Raw genomic sequence first — 18,771 nt, 5'->3', positions numbered from 1 at the left:
TATGAACAAAATTTGTAGCACGTTTGTTTCTCTCTTCCTGGTTCCTATAGAATTTGGAAACTCTCAGTGAGTATCCTCAACTTATGGTAATATAGCCGTTTGCATCAGTGGAATAAGAATCCATTTTTCTTTTGTGGCAGGACACAATTGGAGAAAGTGGTTGTTTTACCAAGGCTTAGACTGGAAGGGTATGCTTCCCTTTAAGGAGTCAATCTCAACTTGCAGGGATGATAGAAGCCCAGTTGCCTCATACCCTTGTCTACACAGTTCCTGTACAGGGTTCCTGACCTGTGGTCAGTAAAGAATGTCACTTTCTAACAGATCTAGGAGCTCCAAGTTTATTATGGGACCTTAAGAGGAGAGGATCACTCAACTTACAGGTATTTGAGGATAAACCCATGGCTGGGCTCAGCTTTAAAAGATCTTATCTGAGATTCCTTGGGGAACAGAGTTCCATCAAAGCCAATCCAAAAAACCTATGTAAAAATAATTATACTTGCTGTATTTTTGCAAATAATCAGGCCAAGTATAAAAGTAAAGTCTATTTTGCAAACCACTCAGTCCTATGATGATTTGTTTTTTAATAAAAATGAGGACTGGAGAGAGAGAAATCATGTTTCAAAACGTATCATATATTTGTCATTAAATTCTAAACTCACTAGTTGTTTTTAAGTTTTCGCTTACATTTTAGGCTAACCCTGCTTGTTCCTGTGAACCAACCAGCAGTCTCCAGCTGCAGCTCAGAAAGAACAAAAGGGATGGGTAATGTAGAAATCTGGATCAATATTCTAGTTCTGAGCAATTATCCTGCAAATCCTGCCAGGCAGTTGGGATAAATAGGATACCCACCACTCGGAGGTTTCCTTTTTGGGAAAGTAAGACCAAGAAAGCTAACCAAAGCCAAGTACCATGCACCCAAATCTTAGCAAGCATAACTATAGCTACCAGTTATCTGGGTGTCTCACAAGACATCCTTTCCCCTCCCTTGTTGGAGGAGGACTCAGTTCCACAGTTTTAACTTAGCATTCAGCTTATGATAAGGAGTCCATGCAACTCCCTCAAGACAAATTTTCATCCCAGACTCAATTCTAAGCTTCTGGTCAAAGCCCTAGGATAGAAAAATGGATCTTAGGGATCCAGAGGCAGACAATAATGGAAGTTAAAAGGTACAGTGCAGGTGAGCATGTGTGGCTGATTCCTGCTGATTAAGCCAACCCCTAGCTTCCTGTTTCATGGATGAAGGCCACATTAATATCCATGGCATAAATGAGGTGTAGGGAACTCCAAAGCTACTGACAGTTTGGAGGATAGAGGCATAGGTGAGAGTGGATAATTCCTATTCTCTAGGTCCTTCCTGTTTTATGGGTGAAAGTCACTTTGGCACTCATGGCGGCAGCTGCCAAGGTCGCTGTGACTTGGGGATGCAAGGATGGAAGAGGGAAAGAGGACATTCTTCCCTCTCTCCCTCATGTACCCCACGTATCTGCTAGGAAGAGAAGAAAACCAGGCATGCCTGCTCCCCTCATTCTAGATGGGTAGCCATTCATCTTTAGTCTGTACCCCTTTCAAATGCATCCTGAATCCCTGGGACTCCTTTAAAAGGTGCCCTCTTATTTTCCTTTCTTCTCATCTGTCCTCTCTTCACTGATAGGTAATTGTGTCTCTGTACTATGGGAAGGTCCCCTCAGATGCATCCTTCAAACTAGAAAGAGTTAATTTCCCAAACCTTAAAACTAGTTGGTTTAGGATTGGGCTCAGGGAAAAGGAACCCAGAAGCCCAACATACTAGCAAAAGGGTAAAGTTTTTTTTTTTTTTTTTGCTAGCTGGGTGTTTGGCCTCCCTCTCCCTGTGCAAACTGGTAAAAGGCCTTGGAATTTTTGAGCTGTCCTTATCCCTCCCCTTGTTTCATGTTGATATGTGTTTTCTAACAAATGGGTTTGTCTGTTCTTGCCTTCAGGCCATCAAACTCCAAATGGTCATGCAACTGGAGCCTCTGACAATGGCCCCTTCTGCTAGGAACCCTTAGATAGGCCTCTGAAGGAGCTCCGACTTCCGTTTCCCCAAAACAGCAACCCCTGTCAGCAGGAAGAAGTTGAGATCAGTCTTCATCCTTATCCTTAATGTAATGGCAATTAGATGTACTTTTTTAGAGGGAGGAATGAGTCAGCCAGGTGGGAGGGGGTCCTTGGAGAAACTCCAACCAGCCTGCCCAGTGAGGTTGGAGGGCAGCCTTCCCTGACCACTCTGTGTAATAAATAACCTCTTCTCCCTCACATATATAAAATTACCAAACATAGCTAATAAAATACAGGATTCCCAGTTAAATGTGAATGTCAGATAAATAAAAATATTTTTAGTACAAGTATGTCCCACGCAATATTTGGAACATACTTATACTAAAAAATTATTTATTGTTTAAACTTCAAATTTAACTGGGCATCTGTATTTTACCTGGTAAACTTAGTCATACTGCCATACTCTGTGATGCCAGATATGATGGTAGCTTGGACTAGAGATGACACTGAAAATGGAAAACATCTTCAATTTCATGGGAAGGAATTGAGAGATACAAGAACCAACAGGAGATGATAAGGGATTGAATGTAGGGAGGAGGGAGATTAGTTGACTGAAATAAATCCCACTAGAAAAATAAAAGAAAACTTGGCAAGGCGTAAGTTAATCTGTAGTGGGAAAGAGGAGAAATTAGAAGTGTTAAATCTGACATGCCATTAAGAAATTGAAACAATGGAGTTATCAAATAGACAGTTAGGAATGGAATTCAAAAGAGAGGTGAGGGCTGTGAAGTACATTTGGGAGTGACTGACATATAAATCCTATGTAAAACTGTGTCCGGAGTTGGTTCCTTCCAGTGGGTTCTTGGTCTCGCTGACTTCAAGAATGAAGCTGCAGACCTTCACAGTGAGTGTTACAGCTCTTAAAGATGGTGTGTCTGGAGTTTGTTCCTTCCGATGTGTCCAGGGTTTCTTCCTTCTGGTGGGTTTGTGGTCTCGTTGACTTCAAGAATGAAGCCGTGGACCTTCGCGGCAAGTGTTACAGCTCTTAAAGGTGGTGTGGACCCAAAGAGTGAGCAGCAGCGAGATTTACTGTGAAGAGTAAAAGAACAAAGCTTCCACAGTGTGGAAGGGGACCCCACCAGGTTGCCACTGCTGGCTGGGGTGGCCAGCTTTTATTCCCTTATTTTTCCCCACCCACATCCTGCTGATTGGTCCATTTTACAGAGTGCTGATTGGTCCATTTTACAGAGTGCTGATTGGTGTGTTTACAATCCTTTAGACACAGAGCGCTGATTGGTGCGTTTTTACAGATAGCTGATTGGTGTATTTACAATCCTTTAGCTAGACACAGAGCGCTGATTGGTGCATTTACAGTCCTTTAGCTAGACACAGCGCTGATTGGTACATTTTTACAGAGTGCTGATTGGTGCGTTTACAATCCTTTAGCTAGACATAGAGCGCAGATTAGTGCATTTTTACAGAGTGCTGATTGGTGCATTTATCATCCTTTAGCTAGACAGAAAAGTTCTCCAAGTCCCCACTTGACCCAGGAAGTCCAGTTGGCTTCACCTCTCAAAACCACAGGAGAGATGAGATCACATAGTGAGTGAGATAAAAAGAGAACGGGAGCAAGTGGTGTCTCCTGAGAAATTGTAACATATCACTTGTCCATTTTTCCTGCTTTGGTTTTCCTATTTCTTCATATCTTCAGAATTATCATACATGAAATTATTATCATTATTGCATGTAAAGTCACGATTAAAATCTGTCTAGTCTGATACAAGTTCTATTTAGCAGTCTTCTCCAACATACGTTAAGAAAAATAATTTTCTTTACAAATAGTGACAAAGCTCATGGCAGTTCTTTCCTCAAGGTTAGAGTTGGGGAAGATAAAGAGCAACAATATACCATAGATACAGAACTGGTTTGTTTTCCTTTCATAAACGAATCAAAACAAGAGCCTTTAGGCATTTTGCATTTTTTAAAAAAGGCTTCTTAAAAAAATAAAGGCTCTTTGTTTCCTTGTTACTAGTTCCCCTCAGCCCCCCTGTACACATCCTACTTTGCCAATACATCTGACAAAGGAATATCAAGTATATCAGGTTGGGAAAAAGAACACCAGTTAACAAAAAAAGGTAAAGTAACACTGGACAAGAATAAAACAAAAATAATACAGAAGTGTGAATAAACAAGAAAAAATGGGAACACTGCTTTTTTTTTTTTTTTTTTGAGCTAGAGTCTCACTCTGTCGACCAGGATGGAGTGCAGTGGCGCTATCTCAGCTTACTGCAACTCAAGCAATTCCCCTGACTCAGCCTCCTGAGTAGCTGGGATTACAGGCACAAGCCACCACGCCCGGCTAATTTTTTTGTAATTTTAGTATACATGGGTTTCACCATGTTGGCCAGACTGGTCTCCAACTCCTGACCCTCAGGCAATCTGCCCATCTCAGCCTCCCAAAGTGATGGGATTACAGGTGCTCTCTCTTTTTTTTTTTCCTTTCTTCTCCTCTGTCCTCTCTTCACTGATAGGTAATTGTGTCTTTGTACTAGAGGACAGTCCCCTTAAATGCATCCTTCAAACTAGAAAGAGTTAATTTCCCAAACCTTAAACTAGTTGGCTTAGGATTGGACTCTGGGGAAGGAAACCCAGAAGCCCAACATGCTGGCAAAAGAGTAAAGTTTTTTTTTGCTAGTTGGGTGTTTGGCCTCCGTCTCCCTGTGCAAACTGGTAAAAGGCCTTGGAATTTTTGAGCTGCCTTATCCCTCCCCTTGTTTCATTTTGATACGTGTTTTCTAATAACCGGCTTTGTCTGTTCTTGCCTTCAGGCCATCAAACTCTAAACGGTAATGCAACTGGAACCTCTGACAATGGCCCTTTCTGCTGGGAAACCTTAGATAGGCCTCTGAGGGAGCTCCACCTGCCATTTCCCCAAAACAGCACACCCTGTCAGCAGGAAGAAGTTAAGATTGGTCTTCATCCTTATCCTTAATCTAAGAGCAATTAGATGTACTTCTTTAGAGGGAGGAATGAGACAGCCAGGTGAGAGGGGGTCCTTGGAGAAATTCCAACCAGGCTGCCCACTGAGATGGAGCCTTGGGAACTTCACACCCTTTTTAGCGGGAGGAGCCTGGCCCATCCTCTTTCCTGTGTGGAACCTGGGATTCAATCAGCCTGGTGGGAAGTGCTCTAGCAGGGACTCTGGCCTAGTGAGAGTTCCTGTTTCCCCCTTTCCTTCCTTTTCACCCAATAAAACCCTGTCTTACTCACTATTCAAGTTGTCTGTGAGCCTGAATTTTCATGGCCATGGGACAAGGAACTCATCTTTAGCTGAACTAAGGAAAAGTCCTGCAACATTAATACATACTGTGTAATTCCATTTATACGAAATTCTAGAGATTATACAACTAATCTGTGTCAGTGTAGTGGCTACCTTGGTGAAATGTTAACTAGGAGCAGGTACACAGAAGGCTTCTGGGTTTTGAGAATGTGTATTTAGGTCTGAGTAGTAGTTACACAGGGGTATAAATATATCCATAGAAATTCACTGCACTGTGCACTAAGATTTGTCAACTTTGGTGTGTGTAATATCTCAACAAAAGGAGGAAAATAGCATCTCTGTGAGAAAATAATTTAAGCTAAAAATGACTCTTGAAAAACTCAAAAAAACTCCATTCTTATTATATTTTTATAATGACTACGAGTGACTATGTAACCATAATAAATAAGATTAAATTACTCACAATGTATGTAGGGAAGCCCCAGTAGGTGATTAGCAAAACAAGTCTCAAGATAGTAGAAAGGGGCTTTCCATTATGACACTTTGGTTGGCTTATTGCCAAGTTGGAAACAGTATATATCTTATTTAAATTCTTCTGAGGACTTAGCAAATATATGATGATTTCAAAGTAATAAACCTATCATTTGAAATGAATGGAATTCAACATTTCTAGCAACATTTATTAAAGTCTTTCTACACTAAAAGCCTTTATAAAAATCAAATGCCATTTCATATCTTTAGCATACGTGCTTTGTGGTGAAAAGCTGAAAAAAAATAAAACTAAATGTTAATTATTTAGGTGTAAGATTTAAGGCACAATAATCTGAATACATGAATATTATGGATTCATTACACAAAAATGGCAAGGCAGTGGAAATAGCTATCACAAGGTGGATATGTTCATTTCTTTAAGTATTAAAATACATACTTTAATATAAAGTAAAGAGCACTTTTGAGTAAATGTGCATGTATTTTGAAGAACTACAGAAAAGACTCAAATATCCAAATATTATGTCAAGTAGACAGAGGCAAAGCACCGTGTCATTTCAAAGGCTCTCTGGACTATAGCAAAAGTAATGACTAAAATTTCACCACACAAAAAAAAAAAACGCACTGCTTTTTCCATTCATCCATCCATGAGCATTTAGGTTGTTTCCATGTCTTAGCTATTGTGAATAACGTTGCAATGAATATGGGGGTGCAGATATATCTTCACAAGGTAGGGATTTCATCTTTTTTGGATGTAGACCCAAAAGAGGGGTTGCTGGATCATATGGTGGTTCTATTTTTAATTTCTTCAGAACCGCCATACTGTTTTCCATAATGGCTATACCAATCCACATTCCCACCAACAGTGTGCTAGAGTTCTCTTTTCTCCATATCCTTGCCACGTTTGTGTTATCTCTTGTCTTTTGATAATAGCTATCCTTATAGGTACAAGGTAATGTCTCATGGTGGTTTAATTTGCATTTCCTTTATGATTAGTAATGTTGATCACTTTTTCATATACCTGTTGGACATTTTTATCTCTTTTTTGTAGAAATATGCATTTTGATCCTTTGTCCATTTTTAAATCAGATTATTTGTTTTACTGATATTGAGTTTTAAAAATACGTTATAAATTTTGTATATTAACCATGAGATAAGTAGTTTGCAATTATTTTTTCCCAGCCCATAGGTTGTCTTTTCATTTTGTTGATTGCTTCCTTCACTGTGTATAAGTGTTTTAGTTTGACTTAGTCCCATTTATTTACTTCCACTTTTGTAGCCTGAGATTTTTCATGTGATATCCAAAAATGATTGCCAAGGTCAATGTTGGGGAACTATTCCCCCATGATCGCTTCTGGGAGTTTTACGGTTTTTGTGATTACATTTAGACATTTTATCCAATGGAATATTATTCAGCCTTAAAAAAAGAAAATCCTTCCATTTTCCACAGCATAGATAGACCTTAAGGACAGTATGCTAAGTAAAATAAGCCAGACACAGGAAAAAAAATATTGTGTGATCTCACATGTGGAATATTTTTTAAAAGAGCTTAAATACACAGAGATAGAGAATAAAAGAATATTTATCACTGGTGTGAGGTAGGGAGGAAATGGAGAAATGCACTTCAAAGGGTACAAAATAGCAGATATGTAGGATAAATGTATCTAGAGATGGAATGTGCAACATAAGGACTAACAAAATACAATAAAATTGTATTGCATTTGAGATTTTCATTAAATAAGATTTAGCCACTCATTACAAAAATAAGTAACTACGTGAGGTGATAGGTGTGTTATTCTGTTCACTACAGTAGTCATTTAATTATATCCATCCCATAATATGCTATAGACCTCAAATATACACAATAAAATTTATTTTTTAAATATTTATAATTTTTTTAAAAGAAGCACTGCTTAGAGAACCTTAACAGATCTTTTTCAAAAGCAAAGGCAAATGTTTTTAACAAATTCATACTAAGATGTTAATAACTATCAGCCCCACTTTCCTCCTGATTTGGCTTGAAGGACCTGGGCAACTTACAGAGGTGGTGGGGGGTACTGAAAAGAGCCAAAGGGGCCCAGCGCGGTGGCTCACGCCTATAATCCCAGCACTTTGGGAGGCCAAGGTGGGTGGATCATTTGAGGTCAGGAGTTCGAGACCAGCCTGACCAACATGGTGAAACCCCATCTCTACTGAAAATACAAAAAATTAGCCAGGTGTGGTGGCACATGCCTATAGTCCCATCCACTTGGGAGGCTGAGGCAGGAGAATCGCTTGAACCTGGGAGGCAGAGGTGGAGGTTGCAGTGAGCCAAGATCGCGCCACTGCACTCCAGCTTGGGCAACAGAGCGAGACTCAGTCTGGAAAAAAAAAAAAAGAGAAAAGAGCCAAAGGAAGGCAGCTAGATCATATTTGGGTATATCATTATTTTATCTAGATTACCTACAAAGAAAATACATACTTTAAAAAAGATGTTTACCCCTTCTCCTTCCAAAAATTAGAATCCTGAGAACCTAAGAACATAGTCATCCAAGAGGAGTTAAGATCACAAAGCCAGCCACTCAATGGTAGAGTGGAAAGAAAACACAAGTGTCCTATAACCAACTTTTCCCCCTCTGTATTGAACATTGCTTCTTAAATACATATTTTAAACAAAATAATAGCATACCTAAGAAATTATCTTCATTCTTTAGTAGAAGTGCATTATGCTCCCACCCTCAGTTTTAAACATGTGCTTAAACACACACACACAGAAAATCACTTTTCCCCTTAATCTCTGTTTTATCCTACTGGTTTGACCTCCTATTGTATTGCTAGGCATTCTAATCTTAAGATAACATCACATCTTTTGTTAAACATTTTTCCTCTCATTGGTCTGATACTTTTTTTTTTTTTTTTGAGACAAAGTCTTGCTCTGTCGCCCAGGCTGGAGTGCAATGGCGTGATCTTGTCTTGGCTCACTGCAACCTCTGCCTCCTGGGTTCAAGTGATTCTCCTGCCTCAGCCTCCCAAGTAGCTGGGATTATAGGTGCCTGCCACCACGCACAGCTAATTTTTATATTTTTAGTAGACACAGGATTTCACCATGCTGGCCAGGCTGGTCTTGAACTCCTGACCTCAGGCAATCCGCCTGCCTCGGCCTCCCAAAGTGCTGGGATTACAGGTGTGAGCCACCGAGCCCGGCCAGGTCTGATACTTTCTATACCCATTCATATAAATCTTCAGTTTAATACAGTATTAATCATAGGTATGTTGAAATCCCTCTTTTACACTTTTTTTTTATTATTATTCCCTGAAAGTATGTTGAATTCCTTTTTTCTCCTCTCGAATGGCTAAGAAGCTCAGATCAGCTAAAATCCGTTATTTTAATGTTTTGTTTTTTCAACTGATTTAATACCTGAAAGATCTGTGTATACTGCTAATACTCAGACTGAAAATGGACTAGTTGCTCTCTGGACACAGAGGCTTCTGGCCTTAGGAAAAGCCAGGGGATGAGGTCATTCCTTGGGTAATACAAAAACAAATGGGAAAATCAAAGTTACAGTCATCGTGCAAAATAAATGTAAACGAGTTCTGTTATACTCTTTGCAGTTTAGTGAGGGTTCTTGTATTACTTATACACCAGTTTGCTGATTGCAGGGAAAGAAAACATAATTTGTCTGGTCAAGTTATAACTTATATTTTAACTTTGCTAAAATGCACATATCTCCACACATCTGTACTTTAATAACAATGTATTATGAATAATACAATATGACAATATTCAATTAACTGTGACATAAGGCTACCAAGAGGTAATGAGGGGCATACATTCAGAAGCCTGCCTGTCCACCTGATATCCGGGAAGGGTCCTACATGGCAAAGGTTGACCATCTTCCAAGAGGTCTCATAGGACAGGATTTATTGCTTTGGTGAATTTACCAGTGTCCAAGGTCTAGCCTTTGACCTTGCAGGCTTAGAAATCAGATTTTGACAACACAGAAAGCACAGATGCATTTCTCAGGAGCATGTACCCTCACACCTCCTCCCCCTCATTCACTTGGCTCCAGTCCCCCAGTTTTTCTTGCTATTTCTTCCACATGCCAAGCATGCCGCCGCCTCAGAGCCTGGGGACCAAGTGACTGCTTTCCAGGTGTTCACGTGCCTTGCCCTCACACTGCCTTCATGCCTCTGCTTAAATGTCCAATTCTTCCAAAGGAAAATACCTAGTTAGAAGCTACATTATTTATCTAATCATTGTGAAGCTTTCCTCCACTTTCAAAATTTAGGAGTTACAAAGTACATTTGTCAATGAAGGATTTTTACATGGTACCAATGTTGAACACAAGAATTTCTTAAAAACACAAAATAAAATTCTCTATATAACAGCATACATTTTACTCTGAGTTTAAGCGTGAAGTGTTTGCCAACTAGTAAAAGCCACATTTTGGAATAATAGGTTTTTTTCCTTGTAATTCCTTGTAATTAATAGAAAACTACCTTAGAAGGGCTTATATGAATAGTTACAGGCCTAAATTTAAATTTATAATCAAGTCAATCTGGACACTTAAACTGAAGATTTATCATAATGAAAGGAAAATGTGTTATTTAAAAAGCATTCTGTCATTTCTATTTATTTAGCCTGTTTTTTTAAACTCTGGTTTTCTGTTTCTTATTGCTTTTTATGATGATATAGTACTTTTGCCTTAGAACAGATTAAAGAAAGTAGATGAAACTTTAATTATTTGATACATAGTCTATATTAGAGGAAAGAGTTTTAAGCAACTAATTAAAGCAAGTTTTGAGATTTTCTAGCATTGTATATATTTTAACACAATTCTCTTCCCCACCTTCTTTTGACAAGTAACTGAGCTGAAACTGCCACATTCAAATGGAAGTTCATTTGCAGTGGGAAAATAAACAAATATATCTTATCCCATGATCTCAATAGGCAAATTGACGAAAGAATATGAAATGACTGAATTCCTAATACCTTCAAAATTTTAAAATTCAAGTTATTATTGAATCTCTCCATATTACTCTTAAATTCTGTCCCAACTGTGACAATTCCAGGTAACTATTTAACATACCATAGAGTTAAGGTACAGCAATTAAAAGGTCCAATCTATCTGTCATATATTTAGGTTTAATAGTAAACTGTTGACAACTTCACAGACTCCAGCCCTGAAACCCTAGACTCTCTCTCAGATTTGTTATATTTTATTTTTAGATGTAATCACTTCCCTCCGGTAAATGGTTAGTGACCACACGCGCAGGTCTGCACATGAGGAAACTAAAAAGGGAACCTTGCGCTGTGAACCAGATACACAAGACACAAGAAGGGTCTCCTTCCAGGCCATGCCCAGCTTGTCATCTTCTTCAACAATCCCTTTGATAGTGCTGTGCTGACATTTTCAATTAATGCAAATGATACTTGAAGTTAAGCAATTTCCATCACACATTCAGTACGTGTTGCTTTACGAACACCCTCTACCAAATAGCATGATAAAAACAAACGTAATTTTTTCTTTTATTAATTTCCCTTAATGCTTCATGTTAAGTGAATCTTGTTAGGGTTCAGATTAATTTTGAATTCACATTGTTGGGAAAATCTTTCAAAAGATTAATTCAGCGAAGTAAATTGGATCAGAATATATGCATTTTGGTAGTCCTATACATCATGTAACCTGATTAAAGAGTTGAGATACTAGAGCTACAAAAGCAAACATTCAGGGGAATCCCAAGATGGGGAAGTGTTAGTTATGCAAGATGATTACGTTCTAGACATCTGCTGTATAGTACCGTGTTTATAATTAACAGTACTGTGTTATACACTTAAAAATTTGTTAAGAGGGCAGACTTCATGTTAAGTGTTCTTATCACAATTTTAAAAAGTTACTAAAAGCAAACAATAAAATAAAATAACAAAAAAAGGTAACCTTGGCATAAAATGGTGCATAAAATGCAAGGTAACCAGGTGAAAAGAAAAAAGAAAACCAAAATGTCTGTTAATTATCCCAAAGGTAAGTGTTTCTCTAAGAGTTTTCCTCAGATAATCCTGCATTAGATTCATCTGTGGAGCTTGTTAAAGATGTAAATTACCAAATCCCACCCCAGTACGACCTGCAAAATGGGAATATGCGATAGGAGGTCTCAGGAATCAAATACGTCAGGTGATTCTTTTTCATGTTAAAATTGGAGAACCATTTATTTAGGTCCTTCAAATCCTTGCTATCATCAAGAACATTTACTACCCACTAGCATGTGCCTAAAAACTGTCCCTATTCAACCAAAGATTCATTCTTCCTTCTAACTAAAAAAGTCCTGTCATATCAGATTAAATTGCAAAGCACATTACCTACTATATTTCTTTACAAAAAAGACAAATTCAGAAGAGTAGAAATCGTATCAGAATAAACTCCGCTGCTCTAACATCTCTTTTCCTTTTTTACATAGTTGTAGTTGCCATGAGTCACAGCTGATTAATTTCTCACTGAAGAAAGAGTTTCCCCCCCAAATTGTATGACAGCCACAGGATGTCTTTTGTACAATAACAGAATATTCAAACTTTCATGTGAATTATTTTAGGAAATGCACCTTCTGCCAAATAATAAAAAATCATAAAGACTTACATAACACTCTGAAAGACTACGATGTGTTAGATCTTTATGAGTAATTATATTTTATGTGTGCCTCAAACTCAAAAGTCTCTCTAGAGTGGGTTTATACTTGTTTAGCAAAAATTATTGAAAAAATATTCAAAACAATAGGCACAATAATACAGTCTCAGAGTACATAATCATATGTGATTATCATCAGAATACATTATATGTGATCGTTTGCATAGGAGAGATGAAGTTTCTCTTTCCCTAGCAAATGGCTTCTCCAATGTGCCTAATTCAACCTTGTAATATGAATTGCATTTAGCTAAGTAACTTATACACACTCAATGTTCAAGAAAAGTCTTCCAAATTAACCACATAATCAATTTAAAAAAGCAGAGATGAAGGTAAATATTTCAAATTGCCCTTAAGCCTTTTGGAAATATTTATGAAAAGACTGATACATTTAATAATTGCAAATATTGTCTATTTAGTTCAAAAGGTGCTCTAAAGATCTGTCAACCTTTTGTTTGCCTCATCTGAGATACTACAAAATGAACATATAATTAAACTACATTTCCTTTTATACCTCCTATCCGATTTTTCACTTTTTCCTAATTAAGATTAGATATGTCCTTGTTAATCCTAATTAGTAATGAGTTTCCATACTTATAACTTGAATAATTATTGAAGAGGAAAGGGAAAGATACATAATGTCATATATACACACAGAGGCACACATGCATGTATGTATACTTGTAAATATTGAAGATGAAAGGAAACATAGACTAATATACTATGCGTATGAAAAAAATGAGGTAATTTTAGGAATTCCTAATGTGCATCATGGGAAGATCAATGGAAGAAAGCAATGAATTGTAATTTATTCTGTTATAGTACATTAATCTATGGCCTTTTCAATCTTAACAAGATTTGTTTTAATGACTTAAAGGCTATAAATAACATTTGGTGATTAGGCAAAGAGTTGGCCTGGATACCTGTCTTGTCCCTAACGGTCACGGAAGTGGAAGCAGGAAGCAGAAATATTGACATCCAAAGCCAAAGTTTCCAAGGGCCAGTGAGTCTCATTGTGCCTTGAAACCATGTGAACGGCCACGGATCTGCAACAGAAAAAAAAAAATTTGAATAAAGTTTATTGTATGCAGCTCCTTTCAACATCTCCAGAAAATGTTACCAAAGCAAAACCAATCAACGTTACATCATATATCATCATATAACAGGAAATATGATTATATATGCAATGGTGTATCTCAATATATACCTTAATCTGTATGATAAGGGCTCTGAAAAGATTTTCAGATTAGTTTCTAGTTAGTTATTGATGTTGATACAGCTTCTTATCAGTTAAATTTTCTCTGCTTTTAAATTTTTTTAAGCAACTACACTTAAACTGACACTTTTTTATTTTTAAACATTGTGGTCAAATACACACAATATAAAATTTATGTTCATAACCATTTTTAAATACAAAGTTCAGTGGAATTAAATAAATTTATATTGCTGTGCAACCATCCCCGCCATCTGCAGAACTTTTTTCATTTTGCAAAACTGAAACTCTGTGCTCATTAAAAAATAATTTCCCATTTTCCTCTCCCCCAACTCCAAGCAGCCTTCATTCTACTTTCTTTCTCTATGATTTTGACTAATCTAGGTACTTCATATAAGTGGAATCATTCAGTATTTGTATCTGTATGACTTTATTTCACTTAACATATGTCCTAAAGGTTCATCATTTTGTACATTGTTTCAGAACTTCCTCCTCTTTTAAAGCTGAATAATATTTCATTGTATGTATATACCACATTTTGTCTGTTCATCCATCAATGGACATTTGGGTTGCTCCCATCTTTTGGCTATTGTGAATACTACTACTATGAACATGGATATACAAATATCTGTTTGAGTCCCTGCTTTCAATTCTTTTGGGTATATAGAATCAGAAGTAAAATTGCTAACAATACAATACAATACAATAATTCTATTTTTAATTTTCTGAGAAACCAGACTACTGTTTTCTATAACAGCTGCACGATTTTCATTCTTACTAACAATGCACAAGGGCTCCAATTTCTCCATATCCTAGATAATGCTTGCTATTTTGTCTTTTAAAAAATATATATATAGGCCGAGCGTGGTGGCTCATGCCTGTAATCCCAGCACTTTGGAAGGCCGAGGCGGGCGATCACGAGGTAAAGAGATTGAGACCATCCTGGCCAATATGGAGAAACCCCTTCTCTACTAAAAATATAAAAAAATTAGTCAGGCACGGTGGCGGGCACCTGTAGTCCCAGCTACTCGGAAGGCTGAGGCAGGAGAATCACTTGAACCTGGGAGGTGGAGGTTGCAGTGAGCTGAGATTGTGCCACTGAACTCCAGCCTGGGTGACAGAGCAACACTCCATCTCAAAAATAAATAAATAAATAAAAGAAATAAATATATATATATATAATTACTATCCTAATGGGTGTCAGATGGTATCTCACTGTGCATTTGATTTGCATCTCCCTAAGTATTAGTGATGTTGAACATCTTTTCAGGTGCTTACCAATCATTTGTGTATCTTCTTTGGAGACATGTCTATTCAACTCCTTTGCCCTTTGCCCTTTTATTTATTTATTTATTTTGGAGACAGAGTTTTGCTCTGTAGCCCAGGCTAGAGTGCAGTGGCGCGATCTCGGCTCACTGCAACCTCCACTTCCCAGGTCCTGGTTCAAGCAATTCTCCTGCCTCAGTCTCTCGAGTAGCTGGGATTACAGGCACTTGCCACTATGCCCAGCTAATTTTTGTATTTTTAGTAGAGATGGGGCCAGGATGGTCTTGAACTCCTGACCTCGTGATCTGCCCACCTTGGCCTCCCAAAGTGCTGGGATTACAGGCATGAGCCACCATGCCCAGCCTCCTTTGCCCATTTTTTTAATCCAGTTGTTTAAGTTGCCTATGCTTTTTGCATTGTATAATATACAATGATTCATATTATTAAAATATAATTATATTATTCACAAGTCTGTTTTTCCTTCTGAATATTAGTTTTACATATTTTGGCTTAATTGATGTCATGTTTTCTATAAACTTAACTATGTTGTTATTGGATTGAATAATCACTGTTACTGAAGTGATTACTGCACATGTGAAAAGTAATCTTGCCTTATGTTTATAAAGAAAAAATGAATACGTGCAACGCCTACCTCACCTGAGCCTGCCATTGACATCATATTTAATATTAATGTATTACCTCCAATAATTGTCTTTCTGAATGTACACTTCTACTCCTTTGGTACTGAAATAAAAGATTTAGTAAATAGGACCCCTGTAATGGAAAACTTAAACATCATTTAAATTAATTTTTTTAGTGAAGCAACTAATGTGGAAATAAATTGCAAGTGAAAATATAATGGCTCCCTCAGTGTATTTGGTAATTGCAGTATTATTAAAATAGCTATTCTAAGAGGTCTAAATATGCAAATAAATGTCATATCACTTGGGTGCCATCATTCAAAGTTTAATCAAGAGTCAAATATAAAAGAATTCATTATACCAGTGTCTAAATTCTATCAGTAGACACTCTGGAAAAAAACTAAAGCCACCATCTTCTTTGGTATTCTGTGTGTGCCAAATACCCTAAGATCAGCATTTTAAAATTAATTCAAGATTTCAGATCTTTCTGGGTGAATAGCTAGAAGTGGCAATTGCAATATTAAAACTGTATGTGTCATTCTAAATATCAAACAGCTGGTTTTAAGCCTTATTTCTTTTGAATTCTCTCATCTAGATATAGTCCTAATCCTCATATGACTTTGCAAAATTATCCTAGCTATTATTTCAAGTCAGTTGGTAACTGTTAAAGAAATTAATTTTATTTCAAAGGAAGGAACTCATAAATATTGATCTTATTTTTAGAGAAATCCATGGTTATATTTTTAACCAAAAGTGATTTCTATTGGTTGACAAATTAGTAGTTTGGCACAGTGGTGACAATCATGGCTTCATGTCTGGACTCTGCTACTTGTGGAAAAGCTATGTACCTTCTCTAAGCCCTAATTTATTCATCTTCAAATTGGAAATAATACTAGGAATAAATTATTTAATGCATGTGTATTATATAGGGCCTTAACTTAGTCAATATTCAAAAGGTACCTGATATTATAATTGTTTGCTGTACATATTAATAAACAATAATTGGAAAAATTTAGTTGTACCTGTCTCTTAAGCTTGAGGTTGATATTGATATTTGGACAATGGAGAAGTGTCAAAGCAGCCTAGAAATTTATGTTCACCGAAGCTTTGGTCCCTGTTAAAACAACAAAGAACCAGAGGGCTACAAAGCTATAAGCATATGAATTCGACCTTGACATCTCCTAATTACTTCCTTGAGCCACTTAGCTTCTATCTCATTTATCCAAAGTATTTGCAGAATAAGATTTATGGCTAGTTGACTAAATGTTCTAGTTATCGAAGAATTGCCATTCTACTACTCTACTGAAATGCCTCTCACCAAGTTCAGCAGGAACTTGAAAGAAGAATCCGTTTCTCTTCCCTTCTTCAATTCTTGGTGGCACCTCCAATAGCCGACAATTCTTTCCTTCCTGAAACTCTCTTTTATTGGCCTCCCTGATCTGACACTCTCTCAGATTTCCTTTTAAATATTCTCAGACCTTTCTTCTATCTGATTTCTTAATACTGGGATCTGTGAGCCCTCCTTTCCTCTCTTTATAATGTCTCCTTAGATGACGTCACCATTCTCTTGGCTTTAAATATTATCTGTAAGATGGTTAATCTAAAATTTACATCTCCCATCCAGTCCTCTTGACTGAACTTTAGACTGTGTGTCCAGCTGCCTATTCAAAATTCTCTCTTAGATGTCACACAGATATCTATAACTTAATACATCCAGATAAATTCCTGATTTCCAACCACAAATTGTTCTTCTCATGCTCTTCCCAGTCTCAGTAATTACTACCCATCAAAATGATCAAACCAGAAACCCAAGGACCCCACTGATTCTTCTGTCTTCCTTATCCCCATCTCCTACTTCCAAACCATCAACAAGTCATGTCAGTGTTACCCCAAACACATCTCACATCCACTTATTTCTCTTATTTCTCTGCCACTATCCCAGTTCAGATCACCCTGGTCTAGACCCCTCAACAGCTTCCAATTAATTACTGAATTCATTCATTACTGAATTCTGACCACAGTTATTCTCTACATAGCAGTAGAGAACTTTTCTTAAAATGAGAGTTGGTTCATGTCACTTCCTTGCTTCAAGCTTTTTAATGGCTTCCCATTGTACTTTGAATGTAGTCCAAAAGCTGTTCTACAGCCTAGAAGTCCCAAATAACCAGGCCCCTAACCACATCTCCAGCCTCATATGGTACCATTCTTTCCAGTGATGAAATTGCCAGGCTGTTTTCAACCTCAAGGTTTTTGTGTATGTTATTTCCTCATCCTGGAACATTCTGTGTTCATCCTTCAGTTTTCAATTTAAATGTTACTATGCGCAAAAGCCCTTACCTGACCAAGAAGCACATTGGTCTCTAGCTTAGACATTATTTTTTCTGTATACGTATGTTTATTGCTCCCCACTCAATTCTAAGTTCCATGAGAGCAGGGACTATATCTGTCTTGTCCATCACTGTATCCTAGGTGCCTTGCACAGTACTTGGAAAATCAGAGACTCAATAAATATTTGTTGAATTTTTAAAAAGTAAGAGACTGCCAATTTACAAATCTTGAGATACAGTGAAATATACTTATTTTGGAATCTGTAGTGATAATTCAATATTTAAAAATAATTCTTAAGGCATTACAAGATCTTATAATCTTTCAAGGGTCATTATCATGAATATTATTTCTCTTTGCACACTTCTTTTTTTTTTATTTTTTTTGAGACAGAGTCTCGCTCTGTTGCCCAGGCTGGAGTGCAGTGGTGCGATCTCGGCTCACTGCAAGCTCCGCCTCCTGGGTTCACACCATTCTCCTGCCTCAGCCTCCCAAGTAGCTGGGACTACAGGCACCCACCACCATGCCCGGCTAATTTTTTGTATTTTTAGTAGAGATGGGGTTTCACCGTGTTAGCTAGGATGGTCTCGATCTCCTGACCTTGTGATCCGCCTGCCTTGGCCTCCCAAAGTGCTGGGATTACAGGTGTGAGCCACCACACCCAGCCTCTCTGCACATTTCTAAAATGTGTTCGCTATTTGAGGGTTCTATTATTCAGATCCTGATAAAATGGAAGTGTAGCCCATTCAGCTAGGAACATTTGAAAAACTTTTCATCAAGCTCTCAAAATAAATCCTTGTATATGTTTTAAAAACAAATTGTTCAGATTGTAAACCTTGCTGGAGGCACCGGTAGGTTGACCTCAACAAAACTGACAAGGGCAAA

General features: G+C 37.5%; 1 protein-coding gene across 8 annotated transcripts in view, besides 1 other annotated feature; it reads right to left on the bottom strand.

Moving 5' to 3' along the window:
- The window catches only part of COL19A1 (collagen type XIX alpha 1 chain), a 345,913-nt gene that overhangs the window by 319,446 nt on the left and 7,696 nt on the right, over positions 1–18,771 (bottom strand). For all 8 annotated transcript variants that reach the window (NM_001858.6, XM_047418188.1, XM_011535437.3 and 5 more), the window contains exon 2: positions 13,365–13,487. In NM_001858.6, coding sequence (NP_001849.2) covers positions 13,365–13,455 — 91 coding nt within the window. In that variant the 5' untranslated portion in view covers positions 13,456–13,487. The remainder of the gene's footprint in view (positions 1–13,364; positions 13,488–18,771) is intronic.
- Positions 4,793–4,976: a silencer, noted in NCBI's record as "fragment chr6:70597939-70598122 (GRCh37/hg19 assembly coordinates)". NCBI's record gives its function as "represses an EF-1alpha promoter that drives an FKBP-Casp9 reporter gene in an ReSE screen in phorbol 12-myristate 13-acetate-treated (for megakaryocytic differentiation) K562 erythroleukemia cells {active_cell/tissue: K562(+PMA)}" and the evidence as "EXISTENCE:reporter gene assay evidence [ECO:0000049][PMID:32094911]".

Source organism: Homo sapiens, chromosome 6 (assembly GCF_000001405.40).
Source record: "Homo sapiens chromosome 6, GRCh38.p14 Primary Assembly".
NCBI lineage: Eukaryota > Metazoa > Chordata > Mammalia > Primates > Hominidae > Homo > Homo sapiens.
This window is presented reverse-complemented; position numbering and strand designations above follow the sequence as displayed.